Source organism: Homo sapiens, chromosome 4 (assembly GCF_000001405.40).
Source record: "Homo sapiens chromosome 4, GRCh38.p14 Primary Assembly".
NCBI lineage: Eukaryota > Metazoa > Chordata > Mammalia > Primates > Hominidae > Homo > Homo sapiens.
The window spans coordinates 62,107,938-62,134,063 of NC_000004.12; the positions used below are offsets into that span (position 1 = coordinate 62,107,938).

General features: G+C 35.3%; 2 long non-coding RNA genes across 5 annotated transcripts in view; one reads left to right on the forward strand and one right to left on the reverse strand.

Annotated features, from left to right (window-relative positions):
• Positions 1-26,126, reverse strand: part of ADGRL3-AS1 (ADGRL3 antisense RNA 1) — a 90,011-nt gene that overhangs the window by 36,183 nt on the left and 27,702 nt on the right. Inside the window, exons 4-6 of the long non-coding RNA NR_110595.1 lie at positions 19,110-19,150; positions 12,291-12,352; positions 10,125-10,165 (exon numbers count right to left, since the gene is read on the reverse strand). This is a non-coding gene — a long non-coding RNA (ADGRL3 antisense RNA 1). The remainder of the gene's footprint in view (positions 1-10,124; positions 10,166-12,290; positions 12,353-19,109; positions 19,151-26,126) is intronic.
• Positions 25,831-26,126, forward strand: part of LOC101927145 (uncharacterized) — an 87,617-nt gene continuing 87,321 nt past the window's right edge. For all 4 annotated transcript variants that reach the window (XR_938809.3, XR_001741398.2, XR_245246.5 and 1 more), the window contains exon 1: positions 25,831-26,114. This is a non-coding gene — a long non-coding RNA (uncharacterized LOC101927145). The remainder of the gene's footprint in view (positions 26,115-26,126) is intronic.

A 26,126-nucleotide genomic window follows, 5' to 3' on the forward strand; every position in this document is an offset into this window, starting at 1 on the left:
CTTTCTTTTTCTAATTTATTTATAGGAATTCTTTATATATTCAGGATCTGAGTTCTTAAATATATGTGTTGAAAATATCTTGTGTCATTTTTGTAACTGTGTTTTTATTTAGTTTATAGTGACTTGAACAGATCTTCTATATTTTAATAGTCACATCACTGTTTTCTTTGCTTATGTATTATACACATATAGCTAAGATGACAATACTCTCCAAACTGATCTAAAGATTCAATTAAATTTCTGTCAAAATCCCAGTGATTTGTTTTACAGATTTTAACAAGCTGTTTCTGATATTCACATGGAAATGTTTAGCTTTCCAACCAAAACAAATTTTAAAAAGAACAAAATTGAAGAACTCAGACTTCCCAATTTTAAAACTTTCTACAAGGATAGTTATCAATATAATGTGATACTACCATAAGGACTGACATATAGATCAGTACACAGAATTGAAATTCCAGGAATAAATTTTTGCATTTACAATGAATTGGTTTTGACTAGGCTGTCAAGCCAATTTAACGAGGATAGAAGAGTTTCTGTGAATGGTTCTAGTACAAGTGGATGGGATATCCACATGGAAAAGAAATTTATTTCTCTATCTCGCATCATGTATAAAAACTAACTAAAAAGGGCCCACAGATCTAAACTTAAGAGACAAATACATAAAACTCTTAGGAGAAAACACGAGTAAATTTTCATGACTTTGGATTAGTCAACAGTTTCTCAGTTATGATGCCCTAAGTATAAACAACAAAAGAACAAAACACATAAAAGTCAACAAAAATAAAAATGTTTGTGATTTAATGCACACAATTAAAGAGGTGAAGGACCACCACAAAATGGAGGAAATACTTGCAAATTACAAGGGATTTGTATCTTGAATATATATAAAAAATTCTTACAACTGAGCTAGAAAACATCGAACAACCTGATAGAATAATGGATTAAAAAACTGAATAGATATTTCTCCAAATATGGTATACAAGTGGCAAATCAGCTTATGAAAAGATTATTAATCTCACTACCAATTAGGGAAATGCAAATTAAAACCACCGTGTGATACCACTTCACACTCACTAGAATCACTAAAACAAAAAAGACAGGCAATAATAAGTTCTGTCAAGGATGTGGAGAAATTGGAACTATCCAATCTTGCCTGTGGGATTGTAAAATGTACAGGCACTAGAGAAGACAGTTTGACAATTACTCAAAAGGTTAAACATAAAGCTAATATATGATGGGAGAATTCTTTTCCTAAGCATGTCCCAGATGACTGAAAACATATCCACACAAAAACTTGCACCAAAACGTTCACAGATGCCTTATTCATAATAGTCAAAATTAAAAAAAAAAAACCCAAGGGTCTATTAACTGATAAATGGACTAACAAAATGTGGTGTATTCTTTATTCAGCCATGAAAAAGAATGAAGTGATGATACAAGTTACAACATGGATGAACCTCAAAGATACTGTGCTATGTGAAGGAAACCAGTCACAAAAGACTGCATATTATATAATCCCATATATATATAAAATGTCCAGAGTACGTAAATCCGTGGAAAGAGAAACTCAATTAGTGGTTGCCAAAGGCTGGGGAAGGAGTTCAATTGAGAGTAACTGCTAATGTGTATGGAGTTTCTTTGGGGAGTGATAAAAATGTTTTTGAAATTAGATAGTGGTTATGTTTGCATAATTCTATGAACATTAAAAACCTCTGGACTGTACATCTTAGACAGGTGAATTTTATTTTATGTGAATTGTGTCTCAATAGAGATGTTGTAAGGAAATTTTACTTGCTTCATTGTGGATTTGTGTATTTTTTTCTTGCTTTGTTATTATCTGAATACCTTTTAAAAATTAAAATGATTATGTTTTATCTTTATGAAATCACTATCTTTATCTGTACTTGTTGACTTAAAGTCTACTTTGTCTAATATTTATACAGTTATACCAGCTTGCTTCGATAAGAATTTGGTTATAACTTTTTAAAAATTTGTTACTTTCAACTTTCTTATTTTCCAATTTTAGATGTTTCTCTTACATGTAGCAAGGCCCTTGGAAGGGCCTTAGCAATGTATTCACTAGCCATATGTTTTGGTTAACTATGCAATATAAGGCATCTTGACTGCAATTGATTAAGTTTGCTGCTTTTTCCCATTCAGTTTTTTCTTGGTCATACTTCCCTACCTGATAAATGCAATGAAATGGCCAATGGAATTTTGGCGGTTAAGCTAAAGTGATAAGTAGGTGTAGAGGAATATGTTTGTGTGGCTTCTAGAGTCACTTTCCTGGATACTTAGTTATTGTGTGCCATATTGGTGTAGGAAAGCCTTCCAGGAATCCTCCTGCTATGCATTGTGCTGACTCGGCTGGCATCATCTCACAAGACTTATGACCTGAGGTTGCCCTGCTATAAGAACTTGTTCTACAGTACCTGGCACCAAAACCATGTGTGAGTGGAGAAGAAATAAGTTTGGAAATGTATGAATGCAGAAATAAAATTTGAATTATATGAATGTAAAATTCTTCCAATCAAAGATGTTTAAAATTGCAAGGAAAGGATTTGGTTCTTTTTTTTTTTTTTTTTTGAGATGTAGTCTCGCTCTGTCGCTGCAACCTCCTCCTCCTGGGTTCAAGCGATTCTTCTGCCTCAGCCTCCTGAGTAGCTGGGGCTACAGGCACACGTCGCCATGCCCAGCTAATTTTTTTTTTTTTTTTTTTTTTTGTATTTTAGTAGCGATGGGGTTTCACCATATTGGCCAGGCTGGTCTCAAACTCCTGACCTTGTCATCCACCTGCCTCGGTCTCCCAAAGTGCTGGGATTACAGGCGTGAGCCACCGTGCCCAGCTGGATTTGTTTCTTTTTGATGCTTAGTCAAAACAGAAGTTTCCTGTCATCAGGCATACACTCAGTGATTCACATATACAATTATAAATATGCAATTGTTAAAAGTATTTTACACAATAGAATCTTTTAGATGGTCTATGCACTGTACGGCATAAATCTTTAGGCATTCTACAAATAAATATATCAGTGTCTTCAAGTCTCATGTCTTATGCGCCTCAACATATGGGAATATATCTTGTTATATCTGATGTGTCGTGTTCTATAAGTCCCAGGTGCCATTGCTCATATAAAAATGATGTATATTTCCTGATAATGTGGCCCCAAATACTAACTTTGTTGACTATAACATAAAATACACCGCATGAGGAGGCTAACAACAATAATCTAGTTAATGAGTTCATAATTCTTTAATATAGTTCCCTGCACAAGAAAACTTTAAATGCTCTAAAATCTCACAACTTACATAGAAAATAAACATAGAGAGGTTTTCCCAAATTTGACAAAAATCTTTAAAAAATCAATGTGGTATTACTAGTAACTAGTCATAAAGCTGAAACTTTTCTATACTATCAATATTAAAACCAAGTTATAATGATCCTTAAATAATTGGAATTATCTTTCTAATCTGTTTGCCAAAAATCTTCAAAGTTGTTGTTATAAAATTAAAAAGTATGCAGCCAAAGTATATAAGAAAATAGTATTATATATATGTGTTCAAAAGGAAAATTTTTTAAGGTTTTTATTTTGGCCTATGTCTTTTGTGGTATTGTCAGTTTTTTAAAAACTGTAATTTGGTTTGATTTCTTTTTTTCATTCCAAATAAATATTATAAAGTGCAAATAATTTGTTGTTAGCTTTTTTTAAAATTTATTTTTCTTAGAGAATGAACTACCAAATTAAATAAACCTCTGGCTTCACATAAAACCTAGATTGACATATATCCTCCCCTCGAAGTGGTCATTCATTTTAATTTTTGTTATTAAGTGCATGTAAACTGGTACTTTACTGTGTTCGTGTTTTGTATTTCTGGAATCACTACTAATATTCTTATGGGTCATATACATTTTCTCTTCTGTGGAAAGTCTCTATGCCTTTCAACATGTTTTCTATCTTTTAAAAGGTTTTCATACTGAGTTGTGGAAAGTTTTTTTTCTTAAATAACATCTCAATATTTTGTTGGTTATCTGTATCACAAATATTTTCTCCCAGTTTATAATATTTTCACTTGTTTTAATATATCTTTTGATTTATAACAATTTTCAATTTTGATACAGTCAAATTTATAGGTCTTCTTATATGGTCAACTCTTTTTTTAAAAAAATGTATTTTATTTTATTGTACTTTTTGTTTTTTTCCATAGAGTACAGTGAAAGCAGTTTTATTAAGAAGGCAAAGGAATAAAAGAATGGCTATTCCATAGGCAGAACAGCCTTAAAAAAATATTTTAAATAAACTTTTTCATCCCACTAAACCTAAAGACGTTCCAAATGAGTTATTTCAAGTAGGTATTTAAACATTTCACTTTTGACATTTATCTTTCATTTTCTGCAGTTTGTGTTTATATAGTGTGAAGTGGCTTCAATTTTTTCTTCTTTCCATATGGATAGTCACTTATTCTCCAATCATCCCTTTCCCTACTGATCTAAAATGTCACTTCTGTCAAAAATCAACATGTGTGCATACGTTTCTGAGTTCTGTGTTCTATTTTGGGTGTCACACTGTTTATCTCCACACTATTCTCATTTATTATAGTTCTACAGTATCATATTTATTATAGCTTTATAATAATTCCCATTAGCTAGTTGAGCAATTCTTTCTCTCTGTTCTTTCTGGTTATTATTGGCCCTTTACTCTTCTCTATAAAATTTAAAATCATCTTATCATCAGATCATGAATAACCTTGTTATGCATTAGAAATGTATTGGATATGATTATTAGCAAAAGATATACTATTTTCAAATACTACATCCTTGTAGGCATGAACATGATACATCATCTCATATATTGAAGTGGTCTTTGATATCCTTTATTGAAGCAATTTCCCTTTAGTAGTTTTGAATATTTGAAAAGATACTTGATATTCTGTGATAATATTGTAAATTATCTTCTCTCTTTAATTGTAGTATTAGGATGTTTGTTACTGGTAATTAGAAATGCAACTGACAAATGTTGTATTAATATTTAATTAAATGTTAATTTTATATACAACCAATTTACTAAATTATTTGTAGTAATTTAAAGACTCTTCATTTTTTATGTAAATGATTACCTTTCCTAATTTGTATCTTTATGTCTCCATTTTTTTTCTTGTCTTATTGTACTTGCTAAGACTTGTAATACAATGTTGCATAAGAGTACTGATATTGTGCATCATTGTCTTAGTCCTGCTTATAAAGGGAACTCTTTAAATCTTTCCCCTTTCAGGAAAATATTTACCCTATGTACATCATTTTTATAAGGTTAAAGATATTCTTTCCTATTTCTTATTTCCTAATAATATGTATATTAAATTTTGTTAAATATTTCCCTTCAACCTAAGTAAATGATCACCTTTCCTCTCTTTTAATATGTTAATTTGTCAAATTGAATGTATGAAATTGAAAATATTGATCTGTTTTCATATAAGCAGAATATAATGTTGGCCAAGGTATATTTTTTGAAAAATACATTAGGATTCAATTTGCTATTATAATATTTTGTTTAGGATATTGCATCTACATTTATGAGTAAAATGTGTCCATTATTTGCCTTTATTATGATATATATATATATTTTTTATTTTAATATCAGTTGTTTCCAGAAGTAGTAGAATTAGTTTGAAAGATTTCCTCTTTTTTACTGTCTGTAAGATTTGGCCTGATCTGTTATTTGAAATTGTCTTGCATTTCTATTGCTAAAAGATTAGCTGTTCATCTTTCAATACTTTGAACATAATCTGCCTCTTTTTCCTCACATTTTTAAACATATCTTTTTATTTGATGTTCTGCAGACATTTCTGGATGTGGATTTCTTTTGACTTGTTCTACAAATAATATATTGGACTTCTTGAATTTTTGGTTTGATATCTTTTATTAGTTAGGGAATATTCTCAGCCATTCCGTTTTGCTAATTCATTCTTTTCTCTCTATCTGGTTCACTAATTAGCAGTATATTAGACTTTCTTAGTTAATTTTACCATTTTCTACCTATTTTTCATCGTTTCCACGTTTTTTCTCTATGTTCTATACTCTGTTTGATTTCTTCTCACCTGTCCTCCATCTTGCTAACTCTCTCTGTTGTTTTCAACATAATGATATAGCCATTCATTGAGTTTCTCATTCAATTTTTATATTTTTAGTTTCTGTGAGTTCTCTATTTTCAAAGCTCCTTTACTTTTCCTTATAGCTTCCAGATCCCTGGAGATAGAGTTCACCTTGTGTTTTGTTTTTCAAATTCTAGCCAGCATAATTACTTTTTATTCTAATAATGTGATTATATGATGAATTTATGGTCTGTTTCTGTTGTTTGATTTTTGATTTTTTTAAGGGTGGGGGGTGGACTGATTCTTACACATAGTGTATTATCTCCTTGAGTATTTTTAAATCTTTTTCTTTCTTAGAATTGCTCATGGTTTGAGGAGAAAATATTGACGAGAATTCTTTGAGTTCTAAGATGAAGATGTGCTACTCTGGAGATTTTTGTTTGCCTTTTTAAGATTTTTGAAAGTACTACCGATCTCCAACAACTTTACTGTAAATTTATGACTCATTTTTATGGGTTACCCGTACAATATGAATTTTTGATTGCAAATTCACCTGAGGACCAGCCTGTGGTTACTACTTTGCAAAGCCAATTTTATAATATACACTTGCTTTTGGAATTTAATGTTGGTGATTTATTCAAATAATGTAATTGGTTGTGTTTAAGATTAACAAACCAACTTTGAGCTTGCATTGCAACTAGTCTAAGTACTTGAGGAATATGAGATCTGCTATTTTCTTTAGATCCTAGTTTCTGTGATAGCTTTATAACACCTGTGTAACTGAAATGATCTGATTGCTACAAATGTATGAATTCATTTTAGGATTTAAGGTTAGATGGTTTTATTAGTTATTTAGTTATAAAATTCATCACTGGATTTTTACAAGAAGTTGATTTGGCTAGAGCCCAAAAACTGGAGATGCTTTTATGGTATTGCTTATTTGTAAACATTTTGCTTAATCAGCCTAAACTTTTAAGCAGTAAAAAAATGAATAGATACTGTGAATAACAATTTAAGCACCAGAGTAGTTTTAAATACCTTTATTTAAAGGAGAATACCATTCTGGTGCCTTCCTTAGCAATCCACAAATATATTTAATGTAAGGTTTTTCATCCTTCTAATTAACTACTGAGCTTCTTAGAGAAAAAAAAATGCATACATTTTTAAAAAGTCTGTTTAGCTTAAGGAAATATAATATTCACTCTAAAGTGGCACTTAATAGATTTTTCTATCATTGCACATCTGTAAGTTCAATGGTCGTTGTCTTTATTTATTTAGCACCAAATTCTAAAGTAACAGATGTGCTGAAATAAATTTGATGCAAAAATTCTTTACAAAAATTTGCATGTGTGTAATATATATTATGACATACATATGTTTTCCCTCTTAGCACAGATTCTTAGCACTTCACATAAATGAGGCTGTGATTATGGATCCCAATCTTATGTGCTTTTAGTTGTACAGAGATAAAATACATTACACTTTAGAGCATAAAGTTAGTACTCCTCAGGTTGTATGAAATAGAAACCCACTTAGCTTGAGTAAAAAGGTAGTTTATTAGGACAGCAATATACCTGGGCCTCAGGAACAGAATTAGAATGGCAACACACTGAAGAATCCATTAAATTTCTCTCCTGGTGCCTATCACGTCTACTTCTCTGTATGTCATGCTTTATTTTTCTCCTTGGTCACAGAATAGTTTTTTCTTGTTCAGTAGAAAACTACCAACACGTGCTATGGAATTTATGTAAAGTCATGAAGTAATTGAGAAATACTGAATTGACTTTGTCTGGATCTCGGTTCCCAATATTTGAAAAGAGGATAGATTGGTTGAGTTAAGGGCTCATCCCTGTGGTATAAGTGATGAGCAAGTGTGAATGTGGTGGCTGCTACATTACCAGTGTTGATGAAAGGAGAAAGGAATGTTTCCAGAATATAGATGCTGGAAAAAAATTTAGTAATTGTCTGCGTATAGCCAGAGGCTGCATGTGTGGCTTATTTCCATACCACCAATATTACCAGGAAGCCTGTTAGACATTTAGTCTCTCAAACCTACCCTACCCCTTATGAATTAGGATTTGCATTTATCAAGATTCTCAAGTGATTTGTATCACATTAAAAATTAAAAACATGGTTCTGGTCTGTTAAAAAGTCAGTATCCAGGTGTGTGAAAAATTGGTTTTATTTCAACGTACATTTTATTCCTAACCAGACTTAACATTTAGCTTTCTGAGTTAAACCTTTGCATCCTAGAAGAATCCCTATCAACCGTTTTATAAATATATTTTAAAAATTATAATATAAAGGGAATCTTTAGAGTGACTGTGTATATTACTTCAAATTCATTTCCCCTAGCGGAAAATCAAACAATTTAAGGTACAGGTCTTAATAATGTGGGTCAATAGTTTCAGTTTTATATATAAAAGATAGCACAATATATCCACTGACAACATATTTCTAATATTTTTAGATTTTACTAGTATGATATATTTACATTAATTACCAAAGAAATAGCTAATTTGGCAACTCAGATGGAAACAAGTAATCCAAGTAACCTAGGTAAAAATGTTTAAAATAATGGAAGTCTTTAGCTCTTAGGTATTATATACCTTTAATTTTCACATAGGTGGATGTTGTGGAGTAAAACATTATTAGCTAGGTGTTATTAATGCTTATTACATGCCAGAAACATTTCCAAATAATTTACGCAGTTTTTTTGATTTATGTTTGTTTCTGTTTAGATTGTGATATAACTCAATTTTTACAAATATGGTTGTTTTTAGCGAGGTTTTCTTTTTTGTTTTTATTACTGTAGTATACAACTTGACTCTAAAGCTTGGCATATGAAGTTGAACAGACATGGATTTGAATTGTGGTTCAACCTCTTGCTGCATAAGCTCACGTTAGGCATATCAACTTCTTAAGCCTCAGTTCCCTGTCTATAAAGTGAAAATAATAATTATACTTTCTATATAGAGTTATGAGGATTAAAAGAGAAACATGTATATATTCTAGCATAGGGGAAACATCAATAAAAATTAGTTTTTGTTATAATTATGTACTTTATTATATGCTCATTTTTAATTTCATTTGGTTTATGACAGTAAGTTTCTTCGTGTTGTTTTTAGAAATAGTTTTACTCTATCTGATTACTTGGAAAAGGAGCTTTCTTCTTAAAATCAGCCTGTTTCTTACTGAGCCAAGTGTGGTTGTTTTGGGTTAGATAGTAAATGTCATTAGATCTGTTTTTTAAATAGGAACTTGAAAACAGCATGTGTTACCTGAATTTGACTATAAAAGCCATTTGGCGTTTTTCACTTAATTCTTTGTTTAGGTTGACTTCATGTAATCTTACACCGTGGTATACATGCAATGTCAGAAACAGGTAAGCAGAGAGAAAAGTCAACATGGAAGACATTGTTTGGTGATGTTTACATATATTTTTGCCAAATTTCTTTCCATAAATAGAACTCTAACTTTCTAATTCAATATTAGATTTGCCACAGATATCCTATGCAACATTTTAGGTCCAAAACTCTAGGTTAGAAAGTTATGTGGTAAATTTATGCCTCGTTATAATCACAAAGATAATTTTTGATCTCATTAAAACTGATTAAAAAAAAAACTTTGCAAATAGCCTTTAATATCTCTGTAACACATGGGGTTAGGTGGAATATTATTCTGATTCAATATTTCATTTCTTATGTCTCATCTCATATACTTTCTAAGATGAAAAATTTAGGTAGAATATATTTCACATAAAAACACATTGAATTCTTTATTTTGGAGTTATAGCAGACTATAAATAATGCTATTCTTATTTTCTCAAGTTTGAAATGAACTGAAAGATAGATTTAGGGGTCAAAGAGCAAAATATCATGTTTATTTCCAATTATGATTAATTGTCAAAGGTAAATTTAAATGTAAGGCTAGGTTGTTCTGTTAATAATCCATTTCTGTATTAGACTAACTCATGCCATTAGCGGGAGAACTGTACAATTATAGAGCGGACATATGAGGCCTTTTTGCAATACCTTTATAGATGAGTCAAAGAACAACTCAGCATACATGCCTCCTGCAGAAAAAATAGGACAGCAGTTGCCAAGAATCATACATGCTTCTTTCTTCCAACACCATCATCAGGATAATTTCTCTTCCTACCATCAAAGTAATTTGAGCTTCTCCCTATTTTTTTCCTCAAGATAATTCAGCAAGATGCCATGCAACTTTAATTATACAATGGAGCTGAAGGCATTCTAAGAACTGGTAAATAATAGCATTTTAACATTCTGAATAGTTATTAGAATCTAAGGAGAGATTATTCAACTGAAGTGTTTTAAATAGTATTTTATATTTTATATAAGAATAAGTTGGGATTTACAACAATCAGAAAAATAAAGTCTAGCCTATTCTTTGGAAATATGAATTAAAATGTAACATTGAATGTATATTTTAAATGCTGTTAAATTCCTTTTTAACATTGTGAATTAAAGGATATACCTTCTTTACCAAACCTCTTCTAAGTTTGTGTGTTTTCTTCTGCTCAACTTTTTCCCTAATATTTTAACTTCAGGGACTGAAGGAAGCTCATTGGTTAAGTCTCAGGGCAAAGCATTAATTATAATGCAATTACATAGATAGAAATCTCAAGTATCAAATTTAGAATATGTTTTTACTTTTCTTTATCATCGGATCAACTCAATTTACTTGGATTCCTCCAGCTCCAACCTCAATTAGACTCATTACATCATCATAAGAAGCTAATCTCTTCCCATGAAACCCTGTGTGTGGAATGCGTAAGAAAGCCAGGGAGACAAGATTTATTTGTCAAAGTTCTAGGCTCTAAAATTTAATGAGTGGATAAAGAAATTTGAATTCTGCTTCTCCTTGCCTGTTTATCCTTCTATGTTCTACCTTTATATTTGTTTTCTTTTTAATCTCCAAGCTTCTTTAGAAGCTTATTTTCTTTTTATTTTTCAACATAAGAACTAAATTATAGCTATTGATCAATAGTAGGTAACAAAATACTATCGATTTGTAGTACGACACAAATTTTAATACTATTGATTTTGTAGTGTGGTAACAAATCACTAGCTAGTATACAGAAATCTTACATATTAATTGTTGTTTTCAAGACTATTGTTTGTGTGTTTTTTAAAAACCTTGCAACTTTTATCACTTACTTTAAATGAAAAGTGTCTGAAACAGATTTTGTGACATCAGCTTTTTCAATACAATTACCCATTTAAAAATACACATGTTGGGTATTAGTGACATTATTAAAGATGATTAAACTATTCTCTCTGGACAGTTTAATGGCATTCTTACTGCATACAAGCCAGCCATCTGGTTTACCTAAAGAGAGTTTAAAAGATGATGTCACCAGGGTACCTAATCTACATTTAAAACACTGCACTGCATATACAAGAGTGTTATTAGAAACATATGTCTGGTTTAAAAAATGCCTGCCATTTCATTCATTGTGAACCAGATTCTACCAGTGACAAAAATTTCTCAGGAAGTAAGCTGGCATTTTTGAATTTATTAAGTTACTACTAAAAGGCAGAACATCTTAAAAGTAGTCTCATATTTCTTTTGCACCAATTATACTGCTTAATTTAAGGAGAAAATTCCCCTATAAGAAATTCTGTGTATTATTGTTGAGAAGGCACAGCAAAAGATTTAGCTCTATTGACCAGCACTTATATTCCTTCATGTTTAAAGAAAGGAAGGTCAACATTTAACCTCACAGCAAAATTATTGACCTATTTCCACAGAGAGTTTTTAAAAAATTGAAAAATTGACTAAGTTCAGAGAGGAAATGCAGGAGTCATATTATGGGGGAAATTTAAAAGAAATAATCAGAACAAAGTACTCTTTTGGGGTTTACTTAGTGTTTCAGTGACTTCATTTTTAAAAGGAAGTGTCCTTTAAAATAAACTCTTCCTTTTAAGATACAGGGAAAATGATATCAGGTCTTAAGCTTAGAAATACATAAGATTAAAGACTTTTTTGTAATAATTATTGAGGTTAGAAGGCAAATATTTATAGGATATACATTGTATCTATACAATGAATTTTAAGTTTTACTTTAAAAGATTACTTGAGAGGTTTCTCCTTCACATTATCGTATAGTTTCTTTAAAATATTTTTTCTTGAAAGACAAGAATATTTAGATTAGCAAAATTCATTTTACTTACATTTGGAAGTAATCGCTCCTCAAAATTGAAGGGGGTGGTAAATATCAAACAAAATCATATTTCTGTGAGCAAGGATAAAGACAAAAAGGTTTTTCGATAGGCAACCATCCACCTCTGCTTAAAGGGCTTGTTTGAAATTACTCTTGATATAGTCAAATTATTCAATGCACTTGAAGTATAATGTTAATGTATTGCTACATTCATGTATTGATTGATGTATTTCTTATGAAAGCTAACCCCCCCAATTAAAAAAATATATAGTCAAATGTAATATGATAACATAAAAATGCAACTTAAAACCAATGAAAATAGATAAATTAACAAATAAAAGTGGGTATAAGCTATAAATGATCTAGAAATAATGTGGTCTTCTCCCAGCATATTTTATTCTTTTGTTTGTTTATTAGTATATCAGATTGCATGTATAGAATGGTCTTAGATTTATCAATTATCAAAAATTTAATGTTGTACTGAAATGTGGTATTTTTCTATAGGCTAGTGAGTATCCATAAAGTTAGAATTCAACAATTTCCAAGCTGGGTTTCTCTTAGGAGATAATTCAGCATTATAAGTTTTGGAAATAAAACACAACCTGTGTTTTAATCCATTGGGATTCATCTGAAGCTTAAGTTAGTCTTCAGATACTAACTGTGTGGTTCAGTGTGAGTCACATAATCTCTTGGAGACTGTTTTCAGGTCTGCAATCTGGGAAAATTTTAAGGTACTGTGCACATGATACATATTTATTCCAGGGCTGCCTAACAAATTATCCAAAATGTAATGGTATGAAACACCCATACTAATGGATTGTGTGAGTCTACAAGTCAGGGTACATTTTAATATTTCAATTTTCATGTCTGCTCTGCAATGTCTTTGGCCTCAGCTGGAAGACTTGAAGTTGGAGGCTGGAATTATCTGAAGAAATCATCTACCAATACATCTAGAGTTGATGCTAACTGTCATGTGAGGGCCTTAGTATCTCTGCACATCAGCTCTCTAAGTGAGGGCTAGTTTAGGCTTCCTCACAGCAAGCTGGTTTGCTAGGGTAATTTTCTTGAGACAGCACCAAGTAGAAGCTGCATCCTTTATGTAACCTAGCCTGCGAAGTCACATGACATCATACTGCCATGCTCTGTGGGTTAATTAAGGCTGCCACAAGCCCTTGCTGGATTCAAGTAGGAGAAAAATGGAACCTGATCTATTGATGGGAGATTTTCATTCACATTATAAAAAGAGCATGTGGGATGGGAGTGCATATATTGTGTGATTATTTTAGAAAATTAAATCTTCTGCAGTATTCAACATACAGAAGCTATTACTACTTTATATGATATAGTATGAAATTGTGGAAAAAGCAAGGATTGGTGGTCAGGATATTTGCCACTTTTAACTTAAAAGTCCTTATTAAATAGTCTCTTACATTCTTCATCTATTGAACTAGGAGGATACACTTATTTTCAAGGGTTATTTTGAGGATTAGAGAGATATTAGGCAAAAATATTTGAAGATACTTTATGCTCCTCTGCCTCCTTCATCATATTTTGGTTCCACAGGAAATGGCACTAGAAGTGCCTTTATCTGCTATTAAGTCGAAGAGTACCAACAGGCTAAAAGAAGTTACTAATGGACCAAAAGGATGGATTTCTGCTTAAAATCAAATTTGGAATAGTATGCTAAGGACAGGGCAAAGATGTAATTTTTTATATGGAAAAATCCAGTATCACCAACAAGCTTGAAGAACAAATAGAATCACAAACACACAGAATCTTAGGAAAGGAAGGTGGCTGATAGGGCAAACTCCACATTTGATAGATAAGGGAATCAACTGAGGTTAAATTGCTTGCTAAAGGTTACACTCTAAAGAGCAAATGTGCTGCTTAAATTCATGTCTGCTAACTTGTTAAGTTCAAGTCTCTAATATACATTTTCTTTATAGCTTTTTTTTTCTTGGAACAGAATCATACATTAATTACAATTGAGTACATTATTTGTGTGAATATAGTAATAATGTGATTATAATAGCTAGTGAATTAATATCTTAGGATAATTTTTCAAAATCTTTGTTACAGTAGAAGGAGTAATTATTCTTCATTATGAGAAATAATCAGGAATATTAAAGTCAAGGTGTCAGTAGGGCTGGTTCCTCCTGCAGGACTATTTCTCATAATATTTCTTAGAAACTTAAAAACGGTTGAAATCATTTCCAAACAGTTTCCTTTAAAAAATGTGCATTTCAGTTTTTGAATATTTATGAAATTGGTTAATTAAAAAATCCAATTAACCAATGTTGTGGTTGGATGGACCATAGATGTATACACAGCGAGCCAGTCAATTTTCTTATCATGGAATATAGCATGGTGGCTAAAGACAAGGACTTTTGAATCAAACTGCCTGGACTGGATCCTACTTCTGTCAACTTAGTTAACTTTCCTGTACCTCCAGTCCCTCACCTATAAAAAGAGATAATGACAGTTTCTACATTCAGTGGTTGTGAGGAGTAAGTGCTGTGTTACTTTCCTGTTGCTACTGTAGCAAATTAACACAAACTTAGTGGCATAAAATAACACAAATGTGTTATGCTGTGGTTCTAGAACTTAGAATTCTTAACCGTTTCTTTAGGTTAAAGTCAGGTGTCAGTAGGGCTGGTTCCTTCTGTAGGCTCTGAGGAGCAGAATCTGTTTTCCCAATTTTTCAACTGCTAGTGACCACCTACATTCCTTGTGATTATATTTGAGCCCACTCAAATAATCCAGGATTGACTTCCCATTTCAACATACTTTTCTTTTTTTTAAATTATACTTTAAGTTCTGGAGTACATGTGCAGAAAGTGCAGTTTTGTTAACATAGGTATATACATACCATGGTGGTTTGCTGCAGCCATCAACCTGTCACCTACGTTAGCTATTTCTCCTAATGCTATCTCTCCCCTAACCCCAAAACCCCCAACAGGCCCCAGTATGTGATGTTCCCCTCCCTGTGTATGTTCTCATTGTTAAACACCCACTTATGAGTGAGAACATGTGGTGTTTGGCTTTCTGTTCTTGTGATAGTTTGCTGAGAATGATGTTTTCCAGCTTCATCCATGTCCCTGCAAAGGACATGAATTCATCCTTTTTTATGGCTCCATAGTGTTCCATGGTGTATATATGCCACATTTTCTTCATCCAGTCTATCATTGATCGGCATTTGGGTTGGTTCCAAATCTTTGCTATTGTGAATAGTGCCACAGTAAACATAGGTGTGCATCAATATACTTAGTTTAATGACATTCTAAAGCTCCTTTTGCCATATAAGGAAACATTTGTAGGTTCTGGGATTAGGATGCAGATAATTTTAGGTGCCACTATTCATCCTACCATAAATGTGATGCTGCGTGTAAGTACTTTACACTACCTCTAAGTAAATGCTTACTCAATAAGTGCTGTAAGTTACTGTTATTGTGAAATAGGTGAATTTATAGTTATACACATTGGGATCACGTGCTTCCTTCAAAACTACACCGTTGTGTGATATATTCGTATTAGTCCACTCTCACACTGCTATAAAGAACTGCTCAAGACTGGGCAATTTATAAATAAAAGAGGTTTAATGGACTCACAGTTCCACATGGCTGGGGAGGCCTAAATCATGGCGGAAGGTAAAGGAGGAGCAAAGGCACGCCTTGCATGGCAGCAGGCAAGAGAGTGTGTGCAGGGGAACTGCCCTTTATAAAACAATCAGCTTTCATGAGAGTTAGTCACTAGAATGAGAATAGCATGGGAAAAATCCATCCCCATGATTCAGTTACTTCCCATCGGGTTCCTTCCATGACATGTGGGGATTATGGGAGCTGCAATTCAAAATGAGATTTTGGTGGGGACACAGCCAAACCTTACGAGTATTATTCAAAGAACGTGGATTACAAAAGCAATAAGGGTGGAAATTGCCTTTCTCTCTGAGCCTCACCTTGTGGAATACTGGGTGGGATTCCAAGGACACCCAATACCTTCTTTTCCTTCACATTATTCTAAGTAAGCACGTTTGCATTCTGTGGTACTTTTAAATCTTCTTTTCTGCCTATTTCCTGATTTTCACTTTTCATCCTTTGATCTGCAAAAATGTCCCCCTTGCATTTTTCCTGTGTTATATTGATATGTCGTGGCTCTGCTGTTGATATATCCAGCTCTGGCACTGAGATTGAGTTGGCTCATCACCATGAGTCCTCAACCATGGATGCAAGGCAGAGCTTCTTTCTCCCTTCATCACCCTGATATTTTGACCCAGTATTTGAGCCCTCCTCCTCACCTGCATTTCTATTTTTTTTAACCAGGTCTAATGTAGACTCCATAATTAAGTGGCATCTATAGATCTCTTACAGCCTTCTCTCACAAGTCATTTCAAGCAGATTTCCCTGGGGCTTAATTGGACAATATTACCATCAGCTGCCTCATTAACAGAAGCTGTTCAAGATGAAAACCTTGCCTTTTGCCAAAGACAGGATGAGTTTTCTACTGAGCTAGGACATGAATAATGATTAAACACCTAGTACACATCAAGCCTATGCTGACGAACATGAAAGCTACAGTCTCTGCCCAAGAAGTTCACAATTAGGTACAGGAAATTTAAAAAGGCAGGTAATTATCATCCAGGATGATATGCTAGAGATTCAGGGTACTAAGGGGAGCACATTGGAGAGGCAATTAACTCTGATTTGGAGAGTCTGATGATGGCTCTTGGAGAAAGTGGTTGGTAAGGTGAGACTTATCAGCTCTCCATAGACAAATGATGTGTGCAAACATGGGTATGACTGATGGCTGCAGGGAGAATACAGTTTTCAAAGAGGAAAGAAAAGTCTGAAGCAAAGACCTGGAGAATAAAAGAGTATGACATGTGTAAAGTTCTGAGTGAATTTTGGGATGGCTGAAGCATTTCAAGTACTGAGAAGAGAGAAGACTGGAGAGGTTAGCCAGATCCTGAGGATTTTGAGGGTATTTTAAGACAATTAGATTTCATATAAAGAGCAAAATGGGGCCAGGCGCAGTGGCTCACACCTGTAATCCCAGTACTTTTGGAGGCCGAGGTGGGCAGATCATCCGAGGTCAGGAGTTTGAAACCAGTTTGGCCAACATGGCGAAACCTTGTCTCTACCAAAAATACAAAAATTAGCTGGGCATGGTGGCACAGGCCTGAAGTCCCAGCTACTGGGGAGGCTGAGGTGGGAGAATCACTTGAACCCAGTAGGTGGAGGTTGCAGTGAGCTGAGATCGCGCCACTGTACTCCAGCCTGGGCAACAGAGAGAGACTCTGTCTCAGAAAAAAAAAAAAAAAAAAAGAGCAAAATGGAGCCCCTGAAATGTGCTATTGCAAGATTGGTGTTTGGGAAGATCATTCTTTAACTTGTATGGCTAGATTAAATGGCAAGCTTGGAGACTGGGTGAAGTAGCTTGGAGCCTATTACATTAATACAGTTGAGAGAGAATGGTGCCTTCATCCTAAAAATGGCAAGTGCAATAGAGTGGATGAGCTTACACATTTCTTAGGAGATAAATTCCATAAATTTGTTGCTTGTTTTAATGTGTATATTGTGGTAAAATAAGACAAACAAAGGGAATTTCTGGTGCCTATCCTGTATAGATTCTTGGTTGATTCTGAAGTTAACTGTCAGAATTCATGGTCCTTTCACAATTTTTCTGAGGAGGCCATACATTTGCATTAAAAGAAATGACAAGCCAGAGTTCACAGTGTGCTCACAGATTTGACCTTTCCATTAGGCCTCTGTTGCATATATACATTTATGATTTTAACCATTTTTATGGTTTATCCATTGTATTGGATTTATTTCCTCAACCCTACAATAGAATTAGATGTTACTGATTTTCACAGACCCCACAAATCAAGAAAAAGATAAGAAACATATGCTACAAACTAGACAAAAGTCCTGTTATTTAGGATACTAAGGCATTTTGGTGAAGCCCCTGGGAATCTTTTAGCTGAGAGGCCCTTGACAGTTTTCTTCTGCTATTTAAGAGGTGTCAGAGACAGTTGTCTTGTTAGAGACAATGAGGCAAAATTTTCCTACTCAGCTCCTCATCTTTGACTATTTTTAGGATTGTTTCCTGGTGTAATACCAGAATGTTGTAAGGTGCTAAATTATGACTAAATCCAAATAAGAAAGAGGTAGAGTAAAAGATTTCATAACTAGAAGATGAAAGAAAATCTTTATCAAATGGACTATTTCTTCTTTCTTCTGAGAAATGACCTTAGACTGTCAAATCATATCAAACATGACCACAGTACACACTACCAGTCATTAGGAATGCATTCCCTGTTGTTAAGGGAATTGGTAAGGTCTGTGGTTGCAAAGCTCTATGGATAGCTAGTCTTTGCAAACAATGTGGGAGACAAACAGTTTTTGGATTTCCTGAGTGTGACAGCATCTTTAAATTTTTATTAAAGTATATAAACAGTTTACACAGTTGTCTGCATTCTCAAACAGACAAAATTGGGCAGTCAAATTTCAGAAAGATATAAACTACTCTTTCAGCATGCCAATGTCTTTTTCTTTGTATTTTATATGAGGACCATAACCAGGTATAGAATTACTATTCAAAAATAACACAAACAAAAAAAAATAAAAACAAAACAACAATAAAAAAAGTAAATTTCAAATTGTATTATAAAGACGACTTTTACAGCACAAAACAAAGGAAAGAAATCACAAAAGCTAGACAACTTATAACCTTTAAAAAAACTTCTATACACAAAAAGTCTTAGTTAAATGAGATGTTCCAGCTCTTTTATAGAAACACAGATTTAACAACCATCCATGGATAAAAATACCTTCATGAGAGCTCTGGAATCCAGGTGAGAAGTTACAGCAACTGGGTGGAGCACAGAAAGAAACAAACAAAAAAAGGCGCATTGAAAATGGTAAGAACAATTTTACATGACTCACATCATGTCTTCCCCAAGCCTGCAGAATAGAGTACTGAGAAATATCTTCTTGGCTTGTAAGTACTTCTATGCCCATAGGGAAAAATGAGAATGAAGTATAATATACAGTTAGGATGAATAAATTCTAAACATCTACTGTATACCATAATGCCAATGGAGAAAAATAGTCTATTGTACACTTAAAATTGTTCTAAGAGGAAATATGTTAAGGATTCTAATTATAAAATAATATAGTAAGTAAAGAGGGCTGATATGGTTTGGCTATATCCCCACCCAAATCTCATCTTGAATTCCCATGTGTTGTGGGAGAGACCCAGTGGGAGGTAATTGAATCATGGGGGCAAGTCTTTCCTGTGCTGTTCTCATGATGGTGAATAAGTCTCATGAGATCTGATGGCTTTAAAAGCAGGAAAACCCTGCACAAGCTCTCTCTTTCTTTGCCTGCCACCATCCATGTAAGACATGACTTGCTCCTCCTTGCCTTCCACCATGATTGTGAGGCCTCCCCAGCCATGTGTAACTTAAGTCCAGTTAAACCTCTTTCCTTTGTAAATTGCCCAATGTTGGGTATGTATTTATCAGCAGCATGAAAACAGACTAATATAGTAAATTGGTACCAGTAGAGTGGGGCAATGCTTTAAAGATAACTGTAAATGTGGAAGCAACTTTGGAACTGGGTAACAGGCAGAGGTTGGAACAATTTGGAGGGCTCAGAAGAAGATAGGAAAATGTAGGAAAGTCTAGAAATCCCTAGAGACTTGTTGAATGGCTTTGACCAAAATGCTGATAGCAATATGCACAATGAAATCCAGTCTGAGGTGGTCTCAGATGGAGATAAGGGACTTGTTGGCAACTGGAGCAAAGGTGATTCTTGCTATGTTTTAGCAAAGAAACTGGTGGCACTTTGCCCCTGCCTAGAGATTTGTGGAACTTTGAACTTGAGAGAGATAATTTCGGGTATCTGGCAGAAGAAATTTCTAAGCAACAAAGCATTCAAGAGGTGATTAGGTGCTGTTAAAGGCATTCAGTTTTATAAGGGAAACAGAGCACAAAAGTTTGGAAAATTTGCAGCCTGATAATGCGATATTAGAGAAAACCCCATTTTCTGAGGAGAAATTAAATCCGGCTGCAGAAATTTGCCTAAGCAATGAGGAGCTGAATGTTAATCCCCAAGACAATGGGGAAAATGTCTCCAGGGCATGTCAGAGGTCTTCATGGCAGCCCCTCCCATCAGAGGCCCAGAGGCGTAGGAGAAAAAAGTGACTTTGTTGGCCGGGCTTAGGATCCCTGTGCTTTGTGCAGCCTAGGGACTTGGTGCCCTGTGTCCCAACCACTCCAGCCCTGGCTGAAAGGGGCCAACATAGAATTCGGGCTATGGCTTCAGAGGTGCAAGCATCAAGCTTTGGCTGCTTCTACGTACTATTGAGCCTGCGAGTGCATGGAAGTCAAGAATTGGGGTTTGGGAACCTCTGCCTGGATTTCCGAAGATGTATGGAAGATGTATGTTACCAAGGCTTGCATCTTGTTCAGTGAATTTCCCAAGAGAAGCTTGTTCCAGTCTTTATCTTCATATATACTCGTAAATCCTGGGGACTAATGCCAGTCGTTCCTAAGAATTCTTCCATACCCTACATCCTTGCAGCTTAACTGGCATCACAGGCAGTTAGGGATAGAGAAGCTTGTCATCCCTTTTACAGATAATCACTATCACTAGGAATGATTCTCTTGCGCACCTCTCTTCACTTGGTGGTGAGGGGGCAGTGGAGAGACAAACTCTCCCCATGTAAGTAGGAAAGGAAGAGATCATAGCATTCTCTACTCATATGTATTTCCTTTAAGCAATTTCCTCAACGTACGTTTCAGTCACTTTTAACAGAGACTGGAAGTGGGTGATGGTAGTTGGTAGCTGAAGAACCAATTTAATCATTTGTTAGTAAGCTCTGTGGGAATATGTTTGTAGCTCTCTTTTAATGTGAGTGTAATATATTACCCACTATCTGTAGCTTTGGGGAATTTGCCAAAATTTTCAAGTAGATAGGAAGCAACCTATTCAACATTCTATAACATATGGCATATATGAATATGCTCATTTGCTGTTCAGAAAAATGAAGACATATTAAACTAAGATAGATTTAGTGAAAAAGATTATTTCTGGCTGATATACCTTATTCTAATCTAGCATTTCCCAGTGCTGTTTGAAAGAACTCCACCTCCAAAGGAGTCATCCTCAGACTCCTAGCATATTAAAGATTCTGAGAAATCACAGCAATGTTCTGTACAAAACCACCCCAAAACTCAGTGAATTAAAGCAACACTCATATCTTCTTGTACTTCTGTGTGTCGTTGGGGGCTTGGCTAATATTGGTTGGACTCAACTGGTGGCACTTTGTAGTCCATGGTAGTTAGCATCCTGCTTCCAAGTTAGGAACTGAAGGCAGGGTGGGTGCTCCAGCTTCAGTGTCTTTCATTCTCCTTGTGTCAGAGAGGTTGCCAGAGATATTTCTTCCTCTTATATCACTGGCAGAGGTGCAAGAGAATAAGCACAAACATGTGCATCCTCCTAAGACCCAGGCTTGACACTGGCAAACTGTGATTTCTGTACAGAAACTTTTGGTCAAAGAAAGTCATCTGACCAAGCCCAAAGTCAAGAATTGGGTAAGTACATCCATAATGAGGCCATGGCAATGGTGTGAGTGCAGGTAGGGGAGAAGAATCAGGGCAATAGTTCAATCTAAAATAGTTTTTTTAAATGAAGTTTTTGGAATTTTTTTTTAACCATAGAGTTATTTTTGTTTTCTTATCTGTAAGATAGATGGTGGAGTAGGAAACCTCAGCCTTTATTTTCCCCACAAAGAATAATGATTAGACAACTATATGAAAATAAAAATAACTCTAGAAGAGCTAAGGAGTCCACTTAGGAAGCTATAGCCATACCTATGGAAGAAAAACAAAAAAACAAAATAACCACACAAAATAGATAAAAGTGTTTTGCCTACATCATCCCATCCCCCAGGTCTGTACTGCTCAACACAGAAAGGGAACACCCGGACTCTCAATTTTCTCTCATAAAGAAGAAGAATATGGTGTGAACAACTAATTTCCACAGCCTTTCAAGGCACTGCTCAAACAAATGTATTTACTTTCTCCTCACCCGGATTGCTAAGGAGACTGGTATTATCTGTGATGTCTGGAGACAGCCAGGAACAAAGAAGAAGGATGTGATCTATCAGCACAAGCCAACAAGGCAGAATCTACTGAGGTCCCCAGTGCCCTGCTCTGCACATACTCCAGCAGCCTCCTCTACTGAGGACCTCAATAGTCCTCATGGTTACTGGGCACCCCCTGCAGGTTTCACTGCTGAGGACTTTGCAGTGTTCGCTGTCATAGACATTAGCAGCTTTTGCTACTGAAGAAATCAACAACCAACACAGCCTCAATGGATGCCCTGCAGGTTTTGCCATGGAGGATTCCACAGCTTTTTGCTTTTGCTGTTTCCAGGTGCCTGAGCCACTGCTCATCTTCCTTTTCCCTCCCAGGAACCACACCAGCTGCTGTCATAACAGGTGCCTTGGCCCAGGGACCCAGAGCAGCCACAATACACATGCCTGAAAATGGTCCTGGGCCCACACTGCAGGCCCTGGCCTCAGCTCCCACTGCAGCACATATGCCTGTAGCCAGGCTCATATATAACTCTAGTCCTGGCTCCCACAGCTGTGTATATACAAGCAGCTGGGCCCAACTCCCATTTCTGGCCTTGTCCACTGTGTTTACATGCCTAGCTCCAGTCCCTGCAGCTGAGCACACAGATGCAGTCATCTGACCTCTGTTACCAGCTCTCACTGCTGCATGCATGCCCCCATAGGACCTCTGCAGCTACGGATGTGTGCATGTGCCCACGGCCAGCCTTGGTCTCCACAGTAACACAGGCATACATAGCTGGCCTAACCCCTGTCCATAACCCCCAGTTAGCCCCTGCAACTACTGACATGCAGGCTGCCAGCTCCTATAGCTGTGCTTGGACACAGCTCCAGTTCCCACCAGCACATGAACCTGCGGTCAGCCAGAGTCCCTGCTCGTGACCCTCACCCTTGCCACTGTGAGAATGCCTATAGCTGGCCCCTGCTACCACATATGTGCTGGAGCCAGCCTCCATACTCCAGCACAGGAACACCACTGGCCCCAACTCTGGTCTTTGGCTGTTGGACCCAAAGGCACTGCTTAGGACCCCAGCAGCCCTTGCAACTACTGTGAAACTCTGTGTTTCTTGCCATCAAGAATCATGCAGTTGCCAGTGTCACAGACTCTAACTACCTGAACCCCCAAGACACTGCACCCCCCCAACATATCCATACCTCCATACTTCTTGCCCGCTACCACTAGACCAGGTGCAACAGCACACTCCAGTGCTCCCCTCAACCCTGACAAGTAAAAATCTTTTAGAAAGATTTTCATATATAATTCCAGTACAAAAGTCTGGAAGAGTAGACTGCTTTTTGAAGTGTGTAGAGAACTACATGAGGTTACAGAAATCATGAAGAATCAGAGAGACATGACACCACCAAAGGAACACCGTACACATCTAGTAACTAATTCCAGAGAATTGAAGATTTGCTAATTGCCTGACAAAGAATTCAAAATAAATGTTCTAAAGGAGCTCAGTGAGCTACAAGAACAGAGATAAATGATTTAATGAAATCAGGAAATCAATATAAGAACATCAATATAAGAAGTCAGGAAAATAATATAAGAACAAAAGGAAAAGCGCAATGAAGAGATAGAAAAATGTAAAACACACATACACACAAACACAAACAAAGACAAAAACTAACAAACAGAAACTTGGGAGCTGAAGACTACAATGACAGAACTAAAAAATCCCATACAGAGCTTCAACAGAAGACAAGAACAACAAGAAGAATAAGGAAACTCAAAAACAGATTATTTGAAATCATCCAGTAAGAAGAGAAAAAAAAATGTATAAGGAAAGCCTATGGAATCTAATAGCTACAGCAACCTTGGGCAAAAAGAACAAGTTGGAGTCATAATACTATCTGATCTCAAAATATACTACAAAGCTAATGTAATCAAAACAGCATGGGGGCTGAGCACGGTAGCTCAACCTATAATCCCAGTGCTTTCAGAGGCCAAGGTGGGAGTACCACATGAGGACAGGAGTTTGAGACCAGCCTGGGCAACATAGTAAGACTCCATCTCTACAAAAAAAAAAAAAAAAAAAAAAGTCAGGTGTGCTGGTGCATACCTGCAGTCCTAGCTACTCAGGAGACTGAGGCAAGAGGATTGTTTGAGCTCTACCTCATGGGGCAGCCAAACAAGACCCTGTCTCTAAAACAAAAACAAACAAACAAACAAAACCAGCATAAGAATAGCGTAACAATAGACATATAGACTAATGGAACAGAGTAGAGAGCTTATAAATAAATCCAGGCAATTATCGTCATTGATCTTTAACAAAGGTACCAAGACTACACAATAGGGAACGGAGATTCTCTTCAATAAATACTGCTGAGAAAACAATATCCCCATGCAGAAGAATCAGATTGGATTTTTATTTGACACCATTAATTCAGAATGGATTAAAGATTTAAACATAAGACCTGAAACTATAAAACTCCTAGAAGAAAATACGCAAAAAAAGATTTTTGACATTAGTTTTGGTAATGATTTGTTGAATATGACTCAAAGCATAGGCAACAAAAGAAAAATAGAAAAATAGGATTGAATCAAACCAAAATGTTTCTGCATAACAAAGCAAACAATCAACAGAATGAGGAGACAACCTACAGCATAAGAGAAAATATTTGCAAATCGTATATCTGAAGAGTAATTAATACCCAAAATACATACAAGGAAATAAAATAACTCAATAGCAAGAAAACAAATAAATTGATTAGATATTTCTCAAAAGAAGGCATATAAATGGCCAACATGTACATGAAAATAATGCTAGCTATTACTAATCATCAGGGAAATAAAAATTAAAACCAAACAAGATATTACCTCACATCCGCTATCATGTCTATTATCACAAAGCCAAAACATAAGTGCTGGTGATGTGGAGAAAAGGGAACCCTTGTAAACTCTTGGTGGGAATGTAAATTACTCCAGTTACTATGGAAACTAATATGGAGATTCCTCAAAAAATTAAAAATAGAAGTACCATATGATCTAGCAATTCTGTGTCTAGCTATATCTTCAATGAAAATGAAATCAGTATGTGGAAAAGATATCTGTACTCCCATGTTTCTGGAAGGATTATCAAAATAGTCAAGATATAGAAGCAACCATCAATGAATGAATGAATACTGAAAATGTGGTATATATACACTGTGATATTATGATTATATTTATATTATGGTTTTCAGCCTTGGTTCATAGCTCATAACTCCCATAACCATTGTTACAATCTTTTGTTATGATGTTGGGGCACTTAAAGCCTCAGAAACAGACCTCAGGAAACAAAACTTATCTCTCTGACCTTTTTGTGTCCCCCTTTCACTTGCCAAAGGCAGGACTCTAATCTGACTGTGGGTCATAAGACCTTCATTCCAGAGAGTCCTGCTTCCTTCTCTGGAGGAAGCAACCCTGCACAGAGGGAAAGAAGAATCTCAACATACAGTCCTCAGCAGCTTTAGCATGGGCAACAAATTAAGTCTCTGTAAAAGGCCCAAAGGACAGGGTTTGGTGAGATTCTGGAGAGCTGGAAACATGGAGGTTGACAGGAATGTAAAGAAGAACTCATTTACATGCCAGGAGGGTGGAACACCCCAATTCCATGAGGATAACTGCTCCTGTACTCCAGACCTCACCCCATGTGTCTCTTCATCTGGCTGGTTATTTGTCCTTTAAGATCTCCTTACTCAACCAGTAAATGTAAGTAAATGT